Below are 16,524 nucleotides of genomic sequence, written 5' to 3' on the forward strand. Positions count from 1 at the left end.
ATTGCGATTACACTGAGCGGGGTGGCTTGTGCCTGTAATCCCAGCAGTTTGGAAGGCAGAGGTGGGAGGACTGCTTGAGGCCAGGAGTTTGAGGCCACCCTGAGCAACATAGTGAGACCCCATCTCTACAAAAATGTTTTTAATTAGCCAGGTGTGGTGGCGCCTGTGGTCCCAGCTACTCAGAGCCGAGGCAGGGTGATTACTTCAGCCCAGGATTTGAGGGTGCAGTGAGCTATGATTACGCCACTGCACTCCAGCCTGGGCAATGGAATGAAACCCAGTCTCTTAAAAAAAAAAATCTGATTATGTTAGAACAACATGTCAGTTTGGTGCTGTCACATCTCTTACATCTTCTCTTTCTTCCTCTTGTTAACACTTAAAAACAAAAACAAACAAACAAAAAAAACAAAGAGGGAACAGGCTCCAGACAGGCAAAAAGGTCTGGCTACAAGGTAATAACATCATTTGGTATTTTTTGCAATTCTATTTACATTATTTTATTTATTTATTTACTTTGAGATAAGGTCTGGATCTGTCACCCAGGCTGGAGTACAATGGCACAATCTTAGTTCACTGCAGCCTCCACCTCCAGGGCTCAAGTCATCCTCCCATCTCAGCCTTCTCAGCAGCTGGGACTACAGGTGTGCAACACCATGTCCGGCTACTTTCTTGTATTTTTTGGTAGTGATGGGGTCTCATTATGTTGCCCAGGCTGATCTCAAACTCCCAAGCGATCCACCCACTTCAGCCTCCCAAATTGCTGGGATTACAAGTGTGAGGCACCATGCCCAGCCTATTTATACTAATTTCTATTTATGGAAGGTGATACTGGTTTTTCCTTTTATAGTAATGATATAAAAATCTTAATTTAAAATGAATTGATTTATCTGTTTAGGTGAGTATTTAGGTAGAAAATATTGACCGGGTGCCGTGGCTCACACTATAATCCCAGCCAGCACTTTGGGAGGCCGAGCAGGTGGATTACTTGAGTCCAGGAGTTTGAGATCAGCCTTGGCAACATGGCAAAACCCCATCGCTACAAAACATAGGAAAATTAGCCAGGCACGGTAGCATGCATTTGTAGTTCCAGCTACTTGGGAGGCTGAGGCAAGAGGATCACTTGAGCCCAGGATGCGGAGGTTGCAGTGAACTGAGATTGCACCATTGCACTCCAGCCTGGGCAACAGAACAAGACCCTGTCTCAAAAAAAAAAAAAAAAAAATTAAGTAATTACTGCAACTGGGATGCATTGTCAGAAAAAAAATGAAAAGTTAAAAAAAAAAAAAAAAGGCTGGGCGCAGTGGCTCACACCTGTAATGCCAGCACTTTGGGAGGCCAAGGCGGGCAGATCACCTGAGGTTGGGAGTTTGAGACCAGCCTGACCAACATGGAGAAACCCCGTCTCTACTAAAATACAAAAAACTAGCTGGGCGTGGCAGCACATGCCTATAATCCCAGCTACTTTGGAGGCTGAGGCAGGAGAAATGCTTGAACCCAGGAGGCGGAGGTTGTGGTGAGCCAAGATCGCACCATTGCACTCCAGCCTGGGCAACAAGAGCAAAACTCCGTTAAAAAAAAAAAATTAATAAGTAACAGGTGGTATACAGATATTACAAAACTATGAGAATGGCATGCAAATAACTAGAGTTTGGCAAAAAATTGAACAACAAAAATTCTATCAATCCAAGAAAAGAAGGAAACAAAATAAAGTATATAAATTAATTACAAACAAATGAAAAATCACAATAAAAGTAAGCTGGGGTAAATCCTTTTGTCTTAGTCCATTCCAGCTGCTATAACAGAATGCCAGAGACTGGGCGGCTCATAAACAAATTGATTTGTCACAGTTCTGGAGGCTGGGAAGTCCCAAATGAAGGCACTGGCAAATCCCGTGTCTGGTGAGTGCCTGCTTCCTAGACTGCCATCTCTGTGCTGTAACTTCACTTGGCGGAATGGGAAAGGGATTTCTCTGAGGTCTCTTTTTTAAGGGCACTAATCTTATTCATTAGAGTTTCACCCTCTATCACCTTGGGAATTTGGATTTCAACATATGGATTTGGGTGATGTAAAAATTGAGCCCACTGTACTACCCTCTGAAAGAAAAACTTCTTTCCCCTTCAAAAAAAATCCAGCTATGAACTACTTAGAGAACTACATGCCCTTGACATGTGGGGATTATTGCAATTCAAGGTGAGATTTGGGTGGGGACACTGAACCGAACCATGTCAGATGGTGTTTTTGTAAAGATCAATAAAATGGTCAAACCTTTAATAAGTTTCAGTAAGAAAAAAGGAAAGAAGACACATCTTTTTAAAAAGTTAATGAAAAATATTTCATTACTACAGAAATAAAGGACTTTTTAAAATTGTAAAAAAAAAACTATACAGTATAGCTTTATGCTAATAAATTTGAAATCAGTGTTTAGATGAAATGGATTATCTTCTAGGAAGACGTAAGTTACAAAAAAGACTCAAAAAGAGATAAAACAACCAGAGCAAAAGGAAAGCAGGTTTGACAATTAATATCTGGCAAAATATAAATCAATCAAGCCAAATATAATTAAGAGAGACAAGGGATATTTTATACTAATAAAAGACAAATTCTAGATATTACAATTATGAACCGCTATATTCTTTTTTTGGTTCTGTTTATTTATATTTGCCTCAGGCCCAAGATAGCTGCTGATGGAACTTTTATGTTGTAATAACATATTTTAGAATATATATAAAGCAAACATTATTAGAAATAATTTCTGTACAAGATATTAACAGATCCACAATCATCTTAGGAAACTATCACACATCTCTGAAATTAATAGGTCAGGTAAGCCAAAATAAGTAACAAAATGAAAAATCTGACAGCTAGACTAATAGACATTTATAAAATATTGTCTGTAACAGAGATTGCACACTGTTTCAAGCACCCATGGAATATTTACATAGTCTGACCATAACCATAAATCCGAATAAGAGCTTGACAAATTCCAACAAGCATAAACCTTTTTTTTTTTTTTTTTTTGAGACAGAGTCTCGCTCTGTCGCCCAGGCTGGAGTGCGGTGGCCCAATCTCTGCTCACTGAAGCTCCGCCTCCCGGGTTCATGCCATTCTCCTGCCTCAGCCTCCCGAGTAGCTGGGACTACAGGCACCCGCCACCACGCCCAGCTAATTTTTTTTTTTTTTTTTGTATTTTTAGTAGAGACGAGCTTTCACCATATTAGCCAGGATGGTCTCGATCTCCTGACCTCGTGATCCACCTGCCTCGGCCTCCCAAAGTGCTGGGATCACAGGCATGAGCCACTGTGCCCAGCCAAGCATAAATCTTACATTTCACATTCTGAGACCACAATGCAAGACAGTAAGAATAGAACCTCCAGTGACGGGGCTGTTGTGAGGAATAGGAAGCCTACGCTCTTCCCTCACCTCCTCCAAGTACCCAGACATTTAAGAAACACCCTTTTAAATAATTCTTGAGTTACAAAGGAAATAACAAATTATAAACTAAAAATCATTTGGAAAGGAATGACAATGTAAGCATTATATATCAGATCCTGTAAATTACAGCCAAATAGTACTCAGAAAATATATTGGTTTACATGCATTTACTAGAAAATAAAAAAGTGAAAATAAATGAATTGAACATTTAGGAAACTAGACAGATTAGCAACATAAACTCAAAGAAAGTGCAAGAAAATTACTCAAAACAAAAACCAGTGTGGTAGAGAAAAAGCAGATTTGCTCAAGAAAAGCAAAAGATGGTGTATTAGTCTGTTCTCATACTGCTGATAAAGGCATATCGGAGACTGGGTAATTTATAAAGGAAAGAGCTTTAACTGACTCACAGTTCAGCATGCCTGGAGAGGCCTCAGGAAACTTACAATCATGGCAGGAGAGAGAACGAGTGCCGAGCGAAGGAGGAAGCCCCTTATAAAACCATCAGATCTTGTGAGAACTCACTCACTATCACGAGAACAGCATGAGGGAAACCAACCCATGATTCAATGATCTCCACCTGGTCTCGCCCTTGACATGTGGGGATCATTACAATTCAAGGTGAGATTTGGGTGGGGACACAGAACCAAACCATATCAGATGGTGTTTTTGTAAAGATCAATAAAATGGTCAAACCTTCAACAAGTTTCAGTAAGAAAAAAGGAAAGAAGGCACATCTTTTTAAAAAGTTAATGAAAATGATTTCATTACTACAGAAATAAAGGACTTTTTAAAATTGTAAAAAAAACTATAGGGCATAGCTTTATGCTAATAAATTTGAAATCAGTGTTTAGATGAAACAGATTATTTTCTAGGGAGACGTAAGTTACAAAAAAGACTCATAAAGAGATAAAAGATCAATAATCCTTTTTTTACAGTTGAAAAGGTAGCCAAATAGCTCCAATTAAATATAACCAGACAAAATTGTTTATGATTGAATTTTATCAAGCTTCAAGGAATAGATAATGTTTTCACTGAAGAAGGCATTAGCTAAAAAATAAAATCATAATAATAATCTGGTTTGTTTTCTGTTTTTATGTTTCAGAGCATAAAAAGATGGAAAGCTTCCAATTCACGCTGCCAAGCATAACTCTGACAGCAATTCAACAAAGCAGCACCAAAAAATACACCTACAGGTTAATCTCACTTGTGGAATATATAAACACAAAGTAAAAGTCTAGGCTGGCTGTGGCGGCAGGTACCTAGAATCCCAGCTCCTTGGAGGCTGAGGTGGGAGGATTGCTTGAGCCCAGGAGTTTAAGACCAGCCTGGGCAACACAGTGAGAACCCCTGTCTCAAAGAAAAATTTTAAAAATCCATGGTATTGATCTTGTGTTTACCCAAGAATGCCACAAGACAACACAAAATAAGGGAGAGATAAGATATCAAAAGGAAAAAAAGAAAAATGAAAATCAGTAGAAAGAAAATGCAGCAGAGGCTGTGCAGAGTGAGAGGGCGAAATAGAAGCCTCCACTGATAGTTCCCCCCACCACCCAGAAACACTAAATTTGACAACTATCTGTACAAAAAAGCACCTTCATAAGAACCAAAAATCAGGTAAGCAATCGCAGTACCTGGTTTTAACTTCGTTTTGCTGAAAGAGGCACTGAAGAGGGTAGGAAAGACGGCTTTGAATTGCTGACGACACTCTCCACCCCCTGGCAGCAGCCACACGGCACGGGTAGGATCTGAGCAGCTGTGGGAGGGCGGGCGCGGCACCTGAGATGTGCATTGAACTCAGTGCTGCCGTCACAGTGGAAAAAGCAAAACCGGGTTGAACTCGGGTGACGCCCACCCATGGAGGGAGCACTGAGACCAGCCCCAGCCAGAGGAGAACCGCCCAGCCTAGCAGTGGGACCCGAGTCCCAGCAAGCCTCAGCATCTCGGGCTACGCCGCTCTGGGGTCCTCAATACACTTGAAAGGCGGTCTAGGCCAGGAGGACTACGACCCTCTACAACCCTTACGCAAGCCCTGGTCCTGGTGCCTGTGGACTTGGGGGACTTGGACCTAGTGAGACACCAGCCATGGTGGTTAAGGGAGTGCTTGTGTCACCCATCCCCCAACCTCAGGCAGTGCAGCCTCTAAAAGAGATTTCCCCTTCTTCTGTTTGAGGAGAGGGAAGAGTACAGAGGACTTTGTCTTGCATCTTGGATACCAGCTCAGCCACAGCAGAATAGAGCACTGGGCAGAGGACACCAGCTCAGCCACAGCAGAACAAGGCACTGGGCAGAGGATAGCAGCTCAGCCACAGCAGAACAGGGCACTCAGCAGAGGACACCAGCTCAGCCACAGCAGAACAAGGCTCTGGGCAGAGGATACCAGCTCAGCCACAGCAGAACAGGGCACTCGGCAGAGGATACCAGCTCAGCCACAGTAGAATAGGGCACTGGGCAGAGGATACCAGCTCAGCCACAGCAGAACAAGGCTCTGGGCAGAGGATACCAGCTCAGCCGCAGTAGAATAGGGCACTGGGCAGAGGATACCAGCTCAGCCACAGCAGAATAGGGCTCTGGGCAGAGTCATGAGGCCCCCACTCCAGGCCTTAGCTCCTGGGTGGCCTTCCTAGACACACCTTGGGCCAGAAGGGAACCCACTGCCTTGTAGGGGAGGGCCCAGTCCTGGCAGGATTCATCATCTACTGACGAAAGAGCCCCCGGGCCCTGAATAACCAGCAGGGGTCCACAGGGGTACACCATGGGCCTTGGGTGAGACTCTTGAGATGTGCTGCCTTCGAAGACATGGTAGTGGCTATGGTGAGAGACTCCTGCTTGAGAAAAGCAGAGGAAAAAGTAAAAGGGGACTCTGTCTTACACCCTAGGTACCACCTCAACTATAATGGGGTAGAGTACCAAGAGGCTCTTGGAGTCCCCAGTTCAGGCCTTGACTCTTTTTTTTGAGATGGAGTCTCACTCTGTTACCCAGGCTGGAGTGCAGTGGCACGATCTTGGCTCACTGCAACCTCCACCTCTGGGGTTCAAGCGAGTCTCCTGCCTCAGCCTCCAAGTAGCTGGCATTACAGGCACTTGCCACCATGCCCGGCTAATGTCTGTATTTTTAGTAGAGACCAGGTTTCACCATGTTAGCCAGGTTGGTCTCAAACTCACGACCCCAGGTGATCCACCCCTCTCAGCCTCTCAAAGCGCTGGGATTATAGGCATGAGCCACCGCCCCCGGCCCAAGGCCTTGACTCTTGGATGGCATTTCTGGTCCTGTTCTGGGCAAGAGGGTAGCCCACTCCCCTGAAGAGTAAGTCCCAGGCCTGGCAGCATTCACCACAAACTGACTGGAGAGTCCTTGGGCCTTAGCTGAACATCAGCAGTAGCCTGGCGGCACTCTCCATGGGCCTGTGGTAGTAGTGGCCATGAGCAGCGGCTCCTCCGCATGTGGAAAGCAGATGGAAGAGGAGGAAGGACTTTGTCTTGTGGCTTGAAGGCCAGCTTAGCTGCAGGAGTTTAGAGCATAAGGTAGACTTCTAAGGTTTTTGACTCCAGCTCTTGGCTCCCAGACAGCATCTCTGGACCCGCCCAGGGCCTGGGGGGACTGGCCACTCTGAAGGGAAGGATACAAGCCTGGCTGATTTCGCCACCTGCTGATTGTAGAGTCCTAGGGCCTTGAGTGAACATAGGTGGTAGCCAGGTAGTGGTTACAGCCTTGGGTGAGACCAGGTGCTGTGCTGGCTTCAGGTATGACCTAGCACAGTCCCAGTGGTGGTGGTCACCAGGGGGCTTGTGTCACCCCATTCTCAGCTCCAGGTAGCTCAGCAAAGAGTTAGAGACTCTGGGAGAAAGTAAGGAAAAAGAACAAGAGTCTCTCCCTGGCAATCCAGAAAATTCTTCTGGATCTTATTTAAGACCACCAAGGTGATACCTCTACATGTCTGCATGAACCACAGAATTAGGGGCTTGGAGTGTTCCCTAATGAGGTACGGCTTAGACCACAACACTCAAGTCCCTTCGTATGCCTAGAAAGCCTTTGCAAGAAGGATGAGTACAAATAAACCCAGACTGCAAGGACTACAATGAATACGTAATTCGTCAATGCCCATATACCGATGAACATCCAGAAGCATCAAGACCATTCAGGAAAACATGACCTCACCAAACAAATGAAATAAAGCACCAGGGACTAATCGTGGAGAAACAAAGATATGTGACGTTTTAGACAGAGAATTCAAAATAGCCATTTTGAGGAAACTCAAAGAAATTCAAGATAACACAGAGAAACAATTCAGAAATCTATCAGATAAACTTAACAGAGATTGAAATAATTAAAAAGAAGCAGAAACTCTTGAGTTGAAAAATGCAATTGACATATTGAAGAAGGCATCAGAGTCTCAAGAGCAGAAGTGATCAAGCAGAAGAAGGACTTCGTGAGCCTGAAGACAGGCTATTTGAAAATACACAGGAAAGACAAAAGAAAAAAGGATAAAAGAAATGGAAAGATATTCCATGTTCATGGATTGGAAGAATCAATATTGTTAAAATGTACATTACTACCCAAAGCAATCCACAGATTCAATGCACTCCCTATCAAAATACCAATGACATTCTTCACAGCAATAGAAAAACAATCCTAAAATTTATATGGAACCACAAAAGACCCAGAATAGCCAAAGCTATCCTGAGTAAAAATAAACTGGAAGAATCACATTACCTGATTTGAAATTATACTATAGAGCTATAGTAACCAAAACAGCATGGTACTGGAATAAAAACAGACACATAGACCAATGGAACAGAATAGAGAACCCAGAAGCAAATCAATAAATCTACACTGAATTCATTTTTGACAAAGGTACCAAGAACAAACACTGGGGAAAGGATAGTCCTTTCAATGAATGGTGCTGGGAAAACTGAATATCCATATGCAGAAGAATGAAACTAGACTAGACAGCTATCTCTCACCATTTACAAAAATCAAATCAAAATTGGTTAAAGAGTTAAACTTAAGACCTCAAACTATGAAACTACTAAAAGAAAACACTGGGGAAACTCTCCAGGACATTGGACTGGGCAAAGATTTCTTGAGTAATACCCCACAAGCACGAGCAACCAAAGCAAAAATGAACAAATGGATCATATCAAGTTAAAAAGCTTCTGCACAGGCCAGGTGTGGTGGCTCACACCTGTAATCCCAGCACTATGGGAGGCTGAGGCAGGTGGATCACTTGAGGCCAGGACTTCAAGGCCAGAGGTGAAACCCCACCTCTACTAAAAATACAAAAATTAGCCGGGCATGGCAGTGCACTCCTGTAGTCCCAGCTACTTGGGAGGCTGAGGCACGAGAATCTCTTGAACCCAGGAGGCGGAGGTCGCAGTGAGCCAAGATTGTGCCACTACACTCCAGCTTGGGCGAGAGAGCAAGACTCTGTCTCAATAAATAAATATATAAAATATAAAAGGCTTCTGCATAGCAAACAAAACAATTAAAGTGAAAAGACAACCCAAAGAACTGGAGAAAATATTTGCAAACTACCTATATGACAAGGGTTTAATAAACAGAATATATGAAGAGCTCAAACAAGTCTATAGGAAAAAATCTAATAATGTGAAAAATGGGCCAAAAGGGCCGAGTGTAGTCACTCACACCTATAATCCCAGCACTTTGGGAGGCCTAGGCTGGAGGAATGCTTGAGCTCGGAGTTCAAGGCCCGCCTGGGCAACAATAGTGAGATCTTGTCTCTCTCTCTCTCTATGTGTATAACATATACATACATACATACACACACACATATATATATACATACATATATATATACATACATATATATATACATACATATATATACATACATATATATATATACATACATATATATATACATACATATATATATATATATATATATATTTTTTTTTTTAAAGGGCCAAAGATCTGAATAGGCATTTCTGAAAAGAAGACACACAAACACCAAACAGACATATAGAAAGGTGCTCAGCATCACAGATCATCGGAGAAATGCAAATCAAAACTACGAGACATCATCTCGCCCCAGTTAAAATGGTGTGTATCTAAAAGACAGGCAATAATGAATGCTAGCAAGGCTGTGGAGAAAAAGGAATCCTGGTACGGTATTGGTTGGTGGAAATGTAAATTAGCACAACCACTATGGAGAACAGTTTGGAGGATCTTCAAAAAACTAAAAATAGAGCTACCATATGATCCAGCAATTCCACTGCTAGGTATATACCCAAAAGAAAGGAAATTAGATGTGGAAGAGATGTCTGCACTCCTATGTTTATTGCAGCACTGTTCACAATAGCCAAGATTTGGAAGCAATGTAAGTGTCTACCAACAGACGAACGGATAAAGAAAAGGTGGGGCCGGGCGTGGTGGCTCATGCCTGTAATCCCAGCACTTTGGGAGGCCGAGGCAGATCACCTGAGGTCAGAAGTTTGAGAACAGCCTGGCCAATATGGAGAAACCCCATCTTTACTAAAATACAAAAATTAGCTGGGCGTGGTGGCGCACACCTGTAGTCCCAGCTACTCGGGAGGCTGAGGCAGGAGAATTGCTTGAACCTGGGAGGCAGAGATTGCAGTGAGCCAAGATTGTGGGCAACAGAGCAAGACTCCCTCTCAAAAAGGAGTAAATAAATAAATAAATTTAAAAAGGTGGGACATATAAACAATGGCGTACTATTCGGCCCAGAATGAGATTGTGTCATTTGCAACAATATAGATGGAACTGAGGTCATTATGTTAAGTGAAATAAACCAGGCAGGGGAAGACAAACTTCACATGTTCTTCTTTGTGAGAGCTAAAAATTAAAACAATTGAACTCATGGAGGTCGAGAGTAGAAGGGTGGTTACCAGAAGCTGGGAAGGTAGTGGGGGATGCGGAGGGTGTGGGGATGGTTAATGTGTACAAAAAAGTAGAAAGAATGAATAAGACCCAGCATTTGGTAGCAAAACAGGGCGACCATAGTCAATAATTTAATTGTAAATTTAAAAAGAACCAAACGCGTGTAATGAGATCATTTGTAGCACAAAGGATAAAGGCTCAAGGTGATGGAGACCCCAATTCCCCTGATGTGACTCCCACGTGTCACACGCCTGTATCAAAGTACGTCATGCACTCCATAAGTATATACACCTACTATGTGCCCACAAAAATTAAAAATTAGAAAAAGAAAAGAGTTTAAAATAGAAACAATTTTAAGTCTATAAATCAGTTTTTCAGCAGTCTATTAAAGGAATAACAGGCCGGGTGTGATGGCTCACACCTGTAATCTCAGCACTTCGGGAGGCTGAGGCGGGTGGATCACCTGAGGTCAGGAGTTTGAGACCAGCCTGACCAACATAAGAAACCCTGTCTCCACTAAAAAAAATACAAAATTACCCAGGCATGGTGGCAGGCGCCTGTAATCCCAGCTACTCGGGAGGCTGAGGCAGGAGAATCACTTGAACTCGGGAGGCGGAGGCTGCGGTGAGCTGAGATCGTGCCACTGGGCAACAAGAACAAAATTCCAATCTCAGAAGAAAAAAAAAAGGAATAACACATTATGATCGAGTAAGGTTTATCCCAAGAATTTGAAGATGACTCAACATCAGCAAGTCTATTAATGTATTTCCCTTTATTAACATATTAAAGAAGAGAAAACAATATCATCTCAATTAATGAAAAAAAAATCCATCTCAAAATTGAGTACTCATCCTGATGAGAAGAAAAACTTTTAACAAGAAAAAAAGATACTTCCTGAAGTTGATAAAGCTTGTCTACCAGAAACCTACAGAGTAAATCTCACAGTTGATGATTAAAAAAAAAAAAACTCATTTGTGGCAGTTACCAATTTACTGCCTGTCAGCTCCAAATCCACCTCTTTGCTTTGTGAAAGTGGATGCTTGCTGTGAACGTTTTTCTTGCCAGCTGACAAAATGCTAAGCTGTGTCAGTAGAGGGCGCTGGAGGCACACGACAGGAGGGCGTCTCACTGTCCGGTCACCAGAGTGCGGCTGCCAGCGGTATGTGGGTGGGACACCCGGCCGCACTTGTCCACCCACACGTTTTACTGAGACCGCGCAGGAGGATTCCTGCTGGCCAAACACGTTATGACCTAGTAGGGTTTATCCCAGGAATTTAAAGATGACTCAAATCAGCAACTCTCTCAATGTATTCTACTTTATTAACATATTAAAGGAGAAAAAATAACTCAATGGACAAAAAAACTGTTTTTCTTTTTTTTTTTTCCCTAATTGAGTACGCATCCAGATTAGGAAAACAAAACAAAACAACAAAAAAAACTTTTAGTAAGGTATCTGTCACCTAACCACCATTAATCTCCCATTTTGACTAGTGGCCACGCTGTCACTTTGGGTCCCCGTGCATGAACATCAATTCAGAGCCAATGCTTCAGTCATCTCAGAAGGCCTGGGTAGTTTGCTTTCCCCAGTGCACAGTCACTCTGTAAATAGCACAGGTCTTCTGAGTAGGGCCTAGAGGGAGACTTACAGTAGGTACTTGCAGCAGGGCTGCAGAGTTCATTCTTTGGGGGAAATCCCCCCACACCCTCACACCCCAGTTCATAAAGGGGCCCTGGGGCTGTGAACTGACTCAGTCCTAAGAGCTAGGGGAGAGGCCGTGACTCTCTGCTGTGGTGATTCAAATCAGGTTTCTGGCTACCAGACCCAGAATTTTTTTCTGTTATACTTGAGTAGGCAGCCCAACAATTTTGTTCCTAGAGATACCATCATTCATTAGCCATTGCCAAGAATCCCAGTGGCCAAAGGCATTCTGATTACATCTCTGCCGCCCTTCGTGGTAAATGTGCCCACCTTATCTCTGACAATTAAGTGCTCCCAATTATCCGGAGGCACTTCAGGATCCCATCACCCCACTGATACCAGGAAGCTCATCTCAATGACAACATCCTTAGGGTCACACCTGCCTATGTAGGAAAGCAAGCACAGAGCTTTTAGAGAGGCAGATGCTCCCCTCACTATTCTATTTCTCAATGTCTTAGTAAAGAAGTGTCTTCTGGGCCTTCTCATGGTTAGGAATGGGTGCTTGGTGGTAGACGTGTAAGTCACACATGATAAATCCACTGTGACATTCCTGTCTCCCTACATCTTTGGATTCTCTCCCCCAAATCATAGCAGGGAAGCTCTGACATCTCCACCTCATCAAATGTAGGCAAATGTTGAGTCACCTCCTGCTGCTCAAGCTAAACCATGAAATCCAGACTCTCTGGTAAGTGCATCTATATCAATGAATTAAACAAATGGAGTGTGATAGCCTACCCTGTTGGATCTAACACTCTTAGAATCAACTCGACATGTTTCCCAGGTTTCTTCCAATATTTATTAGCAAAATCTTACCATTCTTTTGGTGTGTAAGTGATTTCCTTCTGAGTTAGTTATCTGAGTTTTATGTCCCACTGTAACATGCTAAGATTTGACCCTAGTTATGGATCCAGTGACAACAGGGGTGACTGTACCAGGTCTGAAGAGTGAGCCGTTTCCAAGGCATCCTCCCAGATGAAGTTATCACAGGGGTGACTGTACCAGGTCTGAAGAGCAACCCTTTCCAAGGCATCCTCCCAGATGAAGTTATCACAGGGGTGACTGTACCAGGTCTGAAGAGCAACCCTTTCCAAGGCACCCTCCCAGATGAAGTTATCACAGGGGTGACTGTACCACGTCTGAAGAGTGACCCCTTTCCCAGGCATCCTCCCAGATGAAGTTATCACAGGGGTGACTGTACCAGGTCTGAAGAGCAACCCTTTCCCAGGCATCCTCCCAGATGAAGTTATCACAGGGGTGGTGACTGTACCAGGTGTGAAGAGCGAGCAACCCTTTCCAAGGCATCCTCCCAGATGAAGTTATCACAGGGGTGACTGTACCAGGTCTGAACAGTGAGCCCTTTCCAAGGCATCCTCCCAGATGAAGTTATCACAGGGGTGACTGTACCAGGTCTGAAGAGCGATCCCTTTCCAAGGCACCCTCCCAGATGAAGTTATCACAGGGGTGAATGTACCAGGTCTGAAGAGTGACCCCTTTCCCAGGCATCCTCCCAGATGAAGTTATCACAGGGGTGACTGTACCAGGTCTGAAGAGCAACCCTTTCCAAGGCATCCTCCCAGATGAAGTTATCACAGGGGTGACTGTACCACGTCTGAAGAGTGACCCCTTTCCCAGGCATCCTCCCAGATGAAGTTATCACAGGGGTGACTGTACCAGGTCTGAAGAGCAACCCTTTCCAAGGCACCCTCCCAGATGAAGTTATCACAGGGGTGACTGTACCACGTCTGAAGAGTGACCCCTTTCCCAGGCATCCTCCCAGATGAAGTTATCACAGGGGTGACTGTACCAGGTCTGAAGAGCAAGCAACCCTTTCCAAGGCACCCTCCCAGATGAAGTTATCACAGGGGTGGTGACTGTACCAGGTCTGAAGAGCAACCCTTTCCAAGGCACCCTCCCAGATGAAGTTATCACAGGGGTGGTGACTGTACCAGGTCTGAAGAGCGAGCAACCCTTTCCCAGGCATCCTCCCAGATGAAGTCATCACAGGGGTGGTGACTGTACCAGGTCTGAAGAGTGACCCCTTTCCCAGGCATCCTCCCAGATGAAGTTATCACAGGGGTGACTGTACCAGGTCTGAAGAGCAAGCAACCCTTTCCAAGGCACCCTCCCAGATGAAGTTATCACAGGGGTGACTGTACCAGGTCTGAAGAGCGAGCAACCCTTTCCAAGGCATCCTCCCAGATGAAGTTATCACAGGATCTTCAGGCAAAGGAAGTGCGGTGTCCTCAGACACAGGAGGGCAGGGTACTTCCGCTGCCAAGGGAGCTTTAAAGTGATTTGCCAGTTTCATCCGAATCTGAGCAGGTGTTCTCATTCCAAGTTTCAGGGTCCTGTTCTTTCCCTGTGAGTGCTCTAACTTGCATATCAGTAACTTGGCATGACTATGACAAACTCATGTGTAATCCTGACTAAAACACCAGAACAGTGGTGTTGTATTAACAACCAATAATAGAAAAAGGATTCCCCATTGTCACTACTACAACCAACAAGTACACTGGACTTTCTAGCTAGACAACAAGCCATGAAATGAAAACAGACATATAAATAATAAAAAGGATAATATAAAATTGTTATTTGCATGCAGTAAGATTTTCCACCTAGGAAATCCAAATGAATCCACTGAAAAACCATTAGAGGGTTTAACAAATCCACAGCAATACACAAAAGAAATACCTTTCCACATACCATACACTTAGAGACAGAACCAAGAAGGTTTCGCAATGTTATCACAGAAAAACCTGGAAACAACCTAAATCTACTGACAGAATGGTTCACTAAATTTCAGTATATTCTGAGTGTGAGATATATTCTATCAATCAGCTGTACTGCTACAGAAAACATTAAAAACAAAGTAAATGTAAGAAGAAAACAACAGGCTCTGGAACACTATATATAGCATGATCCAATTTACTTAAGAAACAAATACTAGGCCGGGTGCAGTGGCTCATGCCTGTAATCCCAGCACTTTGGGAGGCTGAGGCCAGCAGATCACTTGAGGGCAGGAGTTCAAGACCAGCCTGACCAACATGGTGAAACCCCATCTCTACCAAAAATACAAAAATTAGCCAGGTGTGGTGGCAGGTGCATGTAATCCCAGCTACTCGGGAGGCTGGCAGGAGAATCACTTGAACCTGGAGGCAGAGGTTGCAGTGAGCCGAGATCGCGCCATTGCACTCCAGCCTGGGCAACAGAGCAAGACTCCTCTCAAAAACAAAACAAAACAAAAAACCACCACTGAGAATAGGTATGTTTTTAGGTATAAGTATGTATATGAAAAGAAATACATGTGGAAGAAACTTCCCTTCAGAAAGGGGAGTAATTTAAGAGGGCTTTCACTTTCTTTAACCTATGTATTTCTGTCTGAAATTGTAGCTGGACGTGGTGGTGCACACCTGTAGTCCCAGCTACTCAGGAGGCTGAGGTGGGAGGATCACTTGGGCCCAGGAGTTTGAGGCTGCAGTGAGCTATGGTGGCACCACTGCACTGAAGCCTGGGAAACAGAGAGAGACCCTGTCCCTAAAAAATAAAAAATAAAAAAATATATACTTATGTATTGCTTGTGTTATTGGGCTGAAGATCTGGGAAACTCTGGCGTCATCCCTTCGTGATCCATTTATCTACCAACTCACTGATAAATATCCAACACCTGCCAGGTATCTCACACTTGAAACAGGTAACATGATACATAATTCTTAAAGTGCAGGGCTACAGAACCCTAATTCTAATAGCCTACCAGGTATTTTTTTCAGTAAAGACCTGCAAGAGAGCATCTACAAATTCTCCTCTTTAACCACACATTTGGAATCCTTGACTGAAAACTCATTAGCTTTTTCCAAAGGCAAGCTGTATTATAACTAAGCTGGAAAATTTTCTCTTTATTCATCCAATAGGGTTATTTTGAAAGACTCCAGCTGGGGCTGGGCACGGTGGCTCACGCCTGTAATCCCAGCACTTTGGGAGGCCGAGGCAGGTGGATTACCTGAGGTCAGGAGTTCTAGACCAGCCTGGTCAACACAGTGAAACCCCATCTCTACTAAAAATACAAAAATTAGCTGGACGTGCGCCTGTAATCCCAGCTACTCAGGAGGCTGAGGCAGGCGAATCGCTTGAGCCCAGGAGGCCGAGGTTGCAGTGAGCCAAGATCACGCCACTGCACTCCAGCCTGGGCAGTAAAGCAAGACTGCATCTCAAAAACAAAACAAAAAAAAAAAAAAAAAGAAAGAAAGACTCCAGGTAGACTTAGACATAATTCTAACCTTAGATATATTATAGACCCAGCTTGGTTATTAGTATTGAAAATGCTCTTAAAACCACCGTGTCATATATATTTCACACAAGAAGAAATAAATTGAGTAAACATGTGGAAAAATGTTATGTTCACCTGTTAATAAGCAAAAATAAAAAATAAAACAACTCATTAAATTAGCAGACTTTGAAAAATATTGAAAATGGCTACTAATATTGAAGAGACCTTGAAATTACTGCCTGCAACACTGCTAACGGCAGCACAGAT

At 43.6% G+C, this 16,524-nt stretch overlaps 1 protein-coding gene and 1 long non-coding RNA gene across 9 annotated transcripts in view, besides 4 other annotated features; one reads left to right on the forward strand and one right to left on the reverse strand.

Moving 5' to 3' along the window:
- The window catches only part of DRC9 (dynein regulatory complex subunit 9), a 71,101-nt gene that overhangs the window by 5,695 nt on the left and 48,882 nt on the right, over positions 1–16,524 (reverse strand). The window lies entirely within an intron of this gene.
- Positions 3,276–3,282: a mitotic recombination region, noted in NCBI's record as "NUP98-IQCG recombination region recombines with a sequence within the NUP98 intron 13 (IQCG) recombination sub-region of the nucleoporin 98kDa recombination region". NCBI's record gives the evidence for it as "EXISTENCE:nucleotide sequencing assay evidence [ECO:0000219][PMID:18084320]".
- Positions 4,770–5,542: an enhancer, noted in NCBI's record as "H3K27ac-H3K4me1 hESC enhancer chr3:197626412-197627184 (GRCh37/hg19 assembly coordinates)". NCBI's record gives its function as "activates a minimal SCP1, AML or CMV promoter by ChIP-STARR-seq in primed H9 embryonic stem cells {active_cell/tissue: H9 hESC(primed)}" and the evidence as "EXISTENCE:reporter gene assay evidence [ECO:0000049][PMID:30033119]".
- Positions 6,526–7,026: an enhancer, noted in NCBI's record as "H3K27ac hESC enhancer chr3:197628168-197628668 (GRCh37/hg19 assembly coordinates)". NCBI's record gives its function as "activates a minimal SCP1, AML or CMV promoter by ChIP-STARR-seq in primed H9 embryonic stem cells {active_cell/tissue: H9 hESC(primed)}" and the evidence as "EXISTENCE:reporter gene assay evidence [ECO:0000049][PMID:30033119]".
- LOC124906330 (uncharacterized) lies at positions 10,913–15,560 on the forward strand. Its single transcript, XR_007096246.1, has 2 exons — positions 10,913–13,667; positions 13,801–15,560. It is a non-coding gene; the product is annotated as an uncharacterized LOC124906330 (long non-coding RNA).
- Positions 11,378–11,427: a silencer, noted in NCBI's record as "silent region_15094". NCBI's record gives its function as "represses an Ori minimal core promoter by ATAC-STARR-seq in GM12878 lymphoblastoid cells {active_cell/tissue: GM12878}" and the evidence as "EXISTENCE:reporter gene assay evidence [ECO:0000049][PMID:35858748]".

This window comes from Homo sapiens, chromosome 3 (assembly GCF_000001405.40).
Source record: "Homo sapiens chromosome 3, GRCh38.p14 Primary Assembly".
Lineage (NCBI taxonomy): Eukaryota > Metazoa > Chordata > Mammalia > Primates > Hominidae > Homo > Homo sapiens.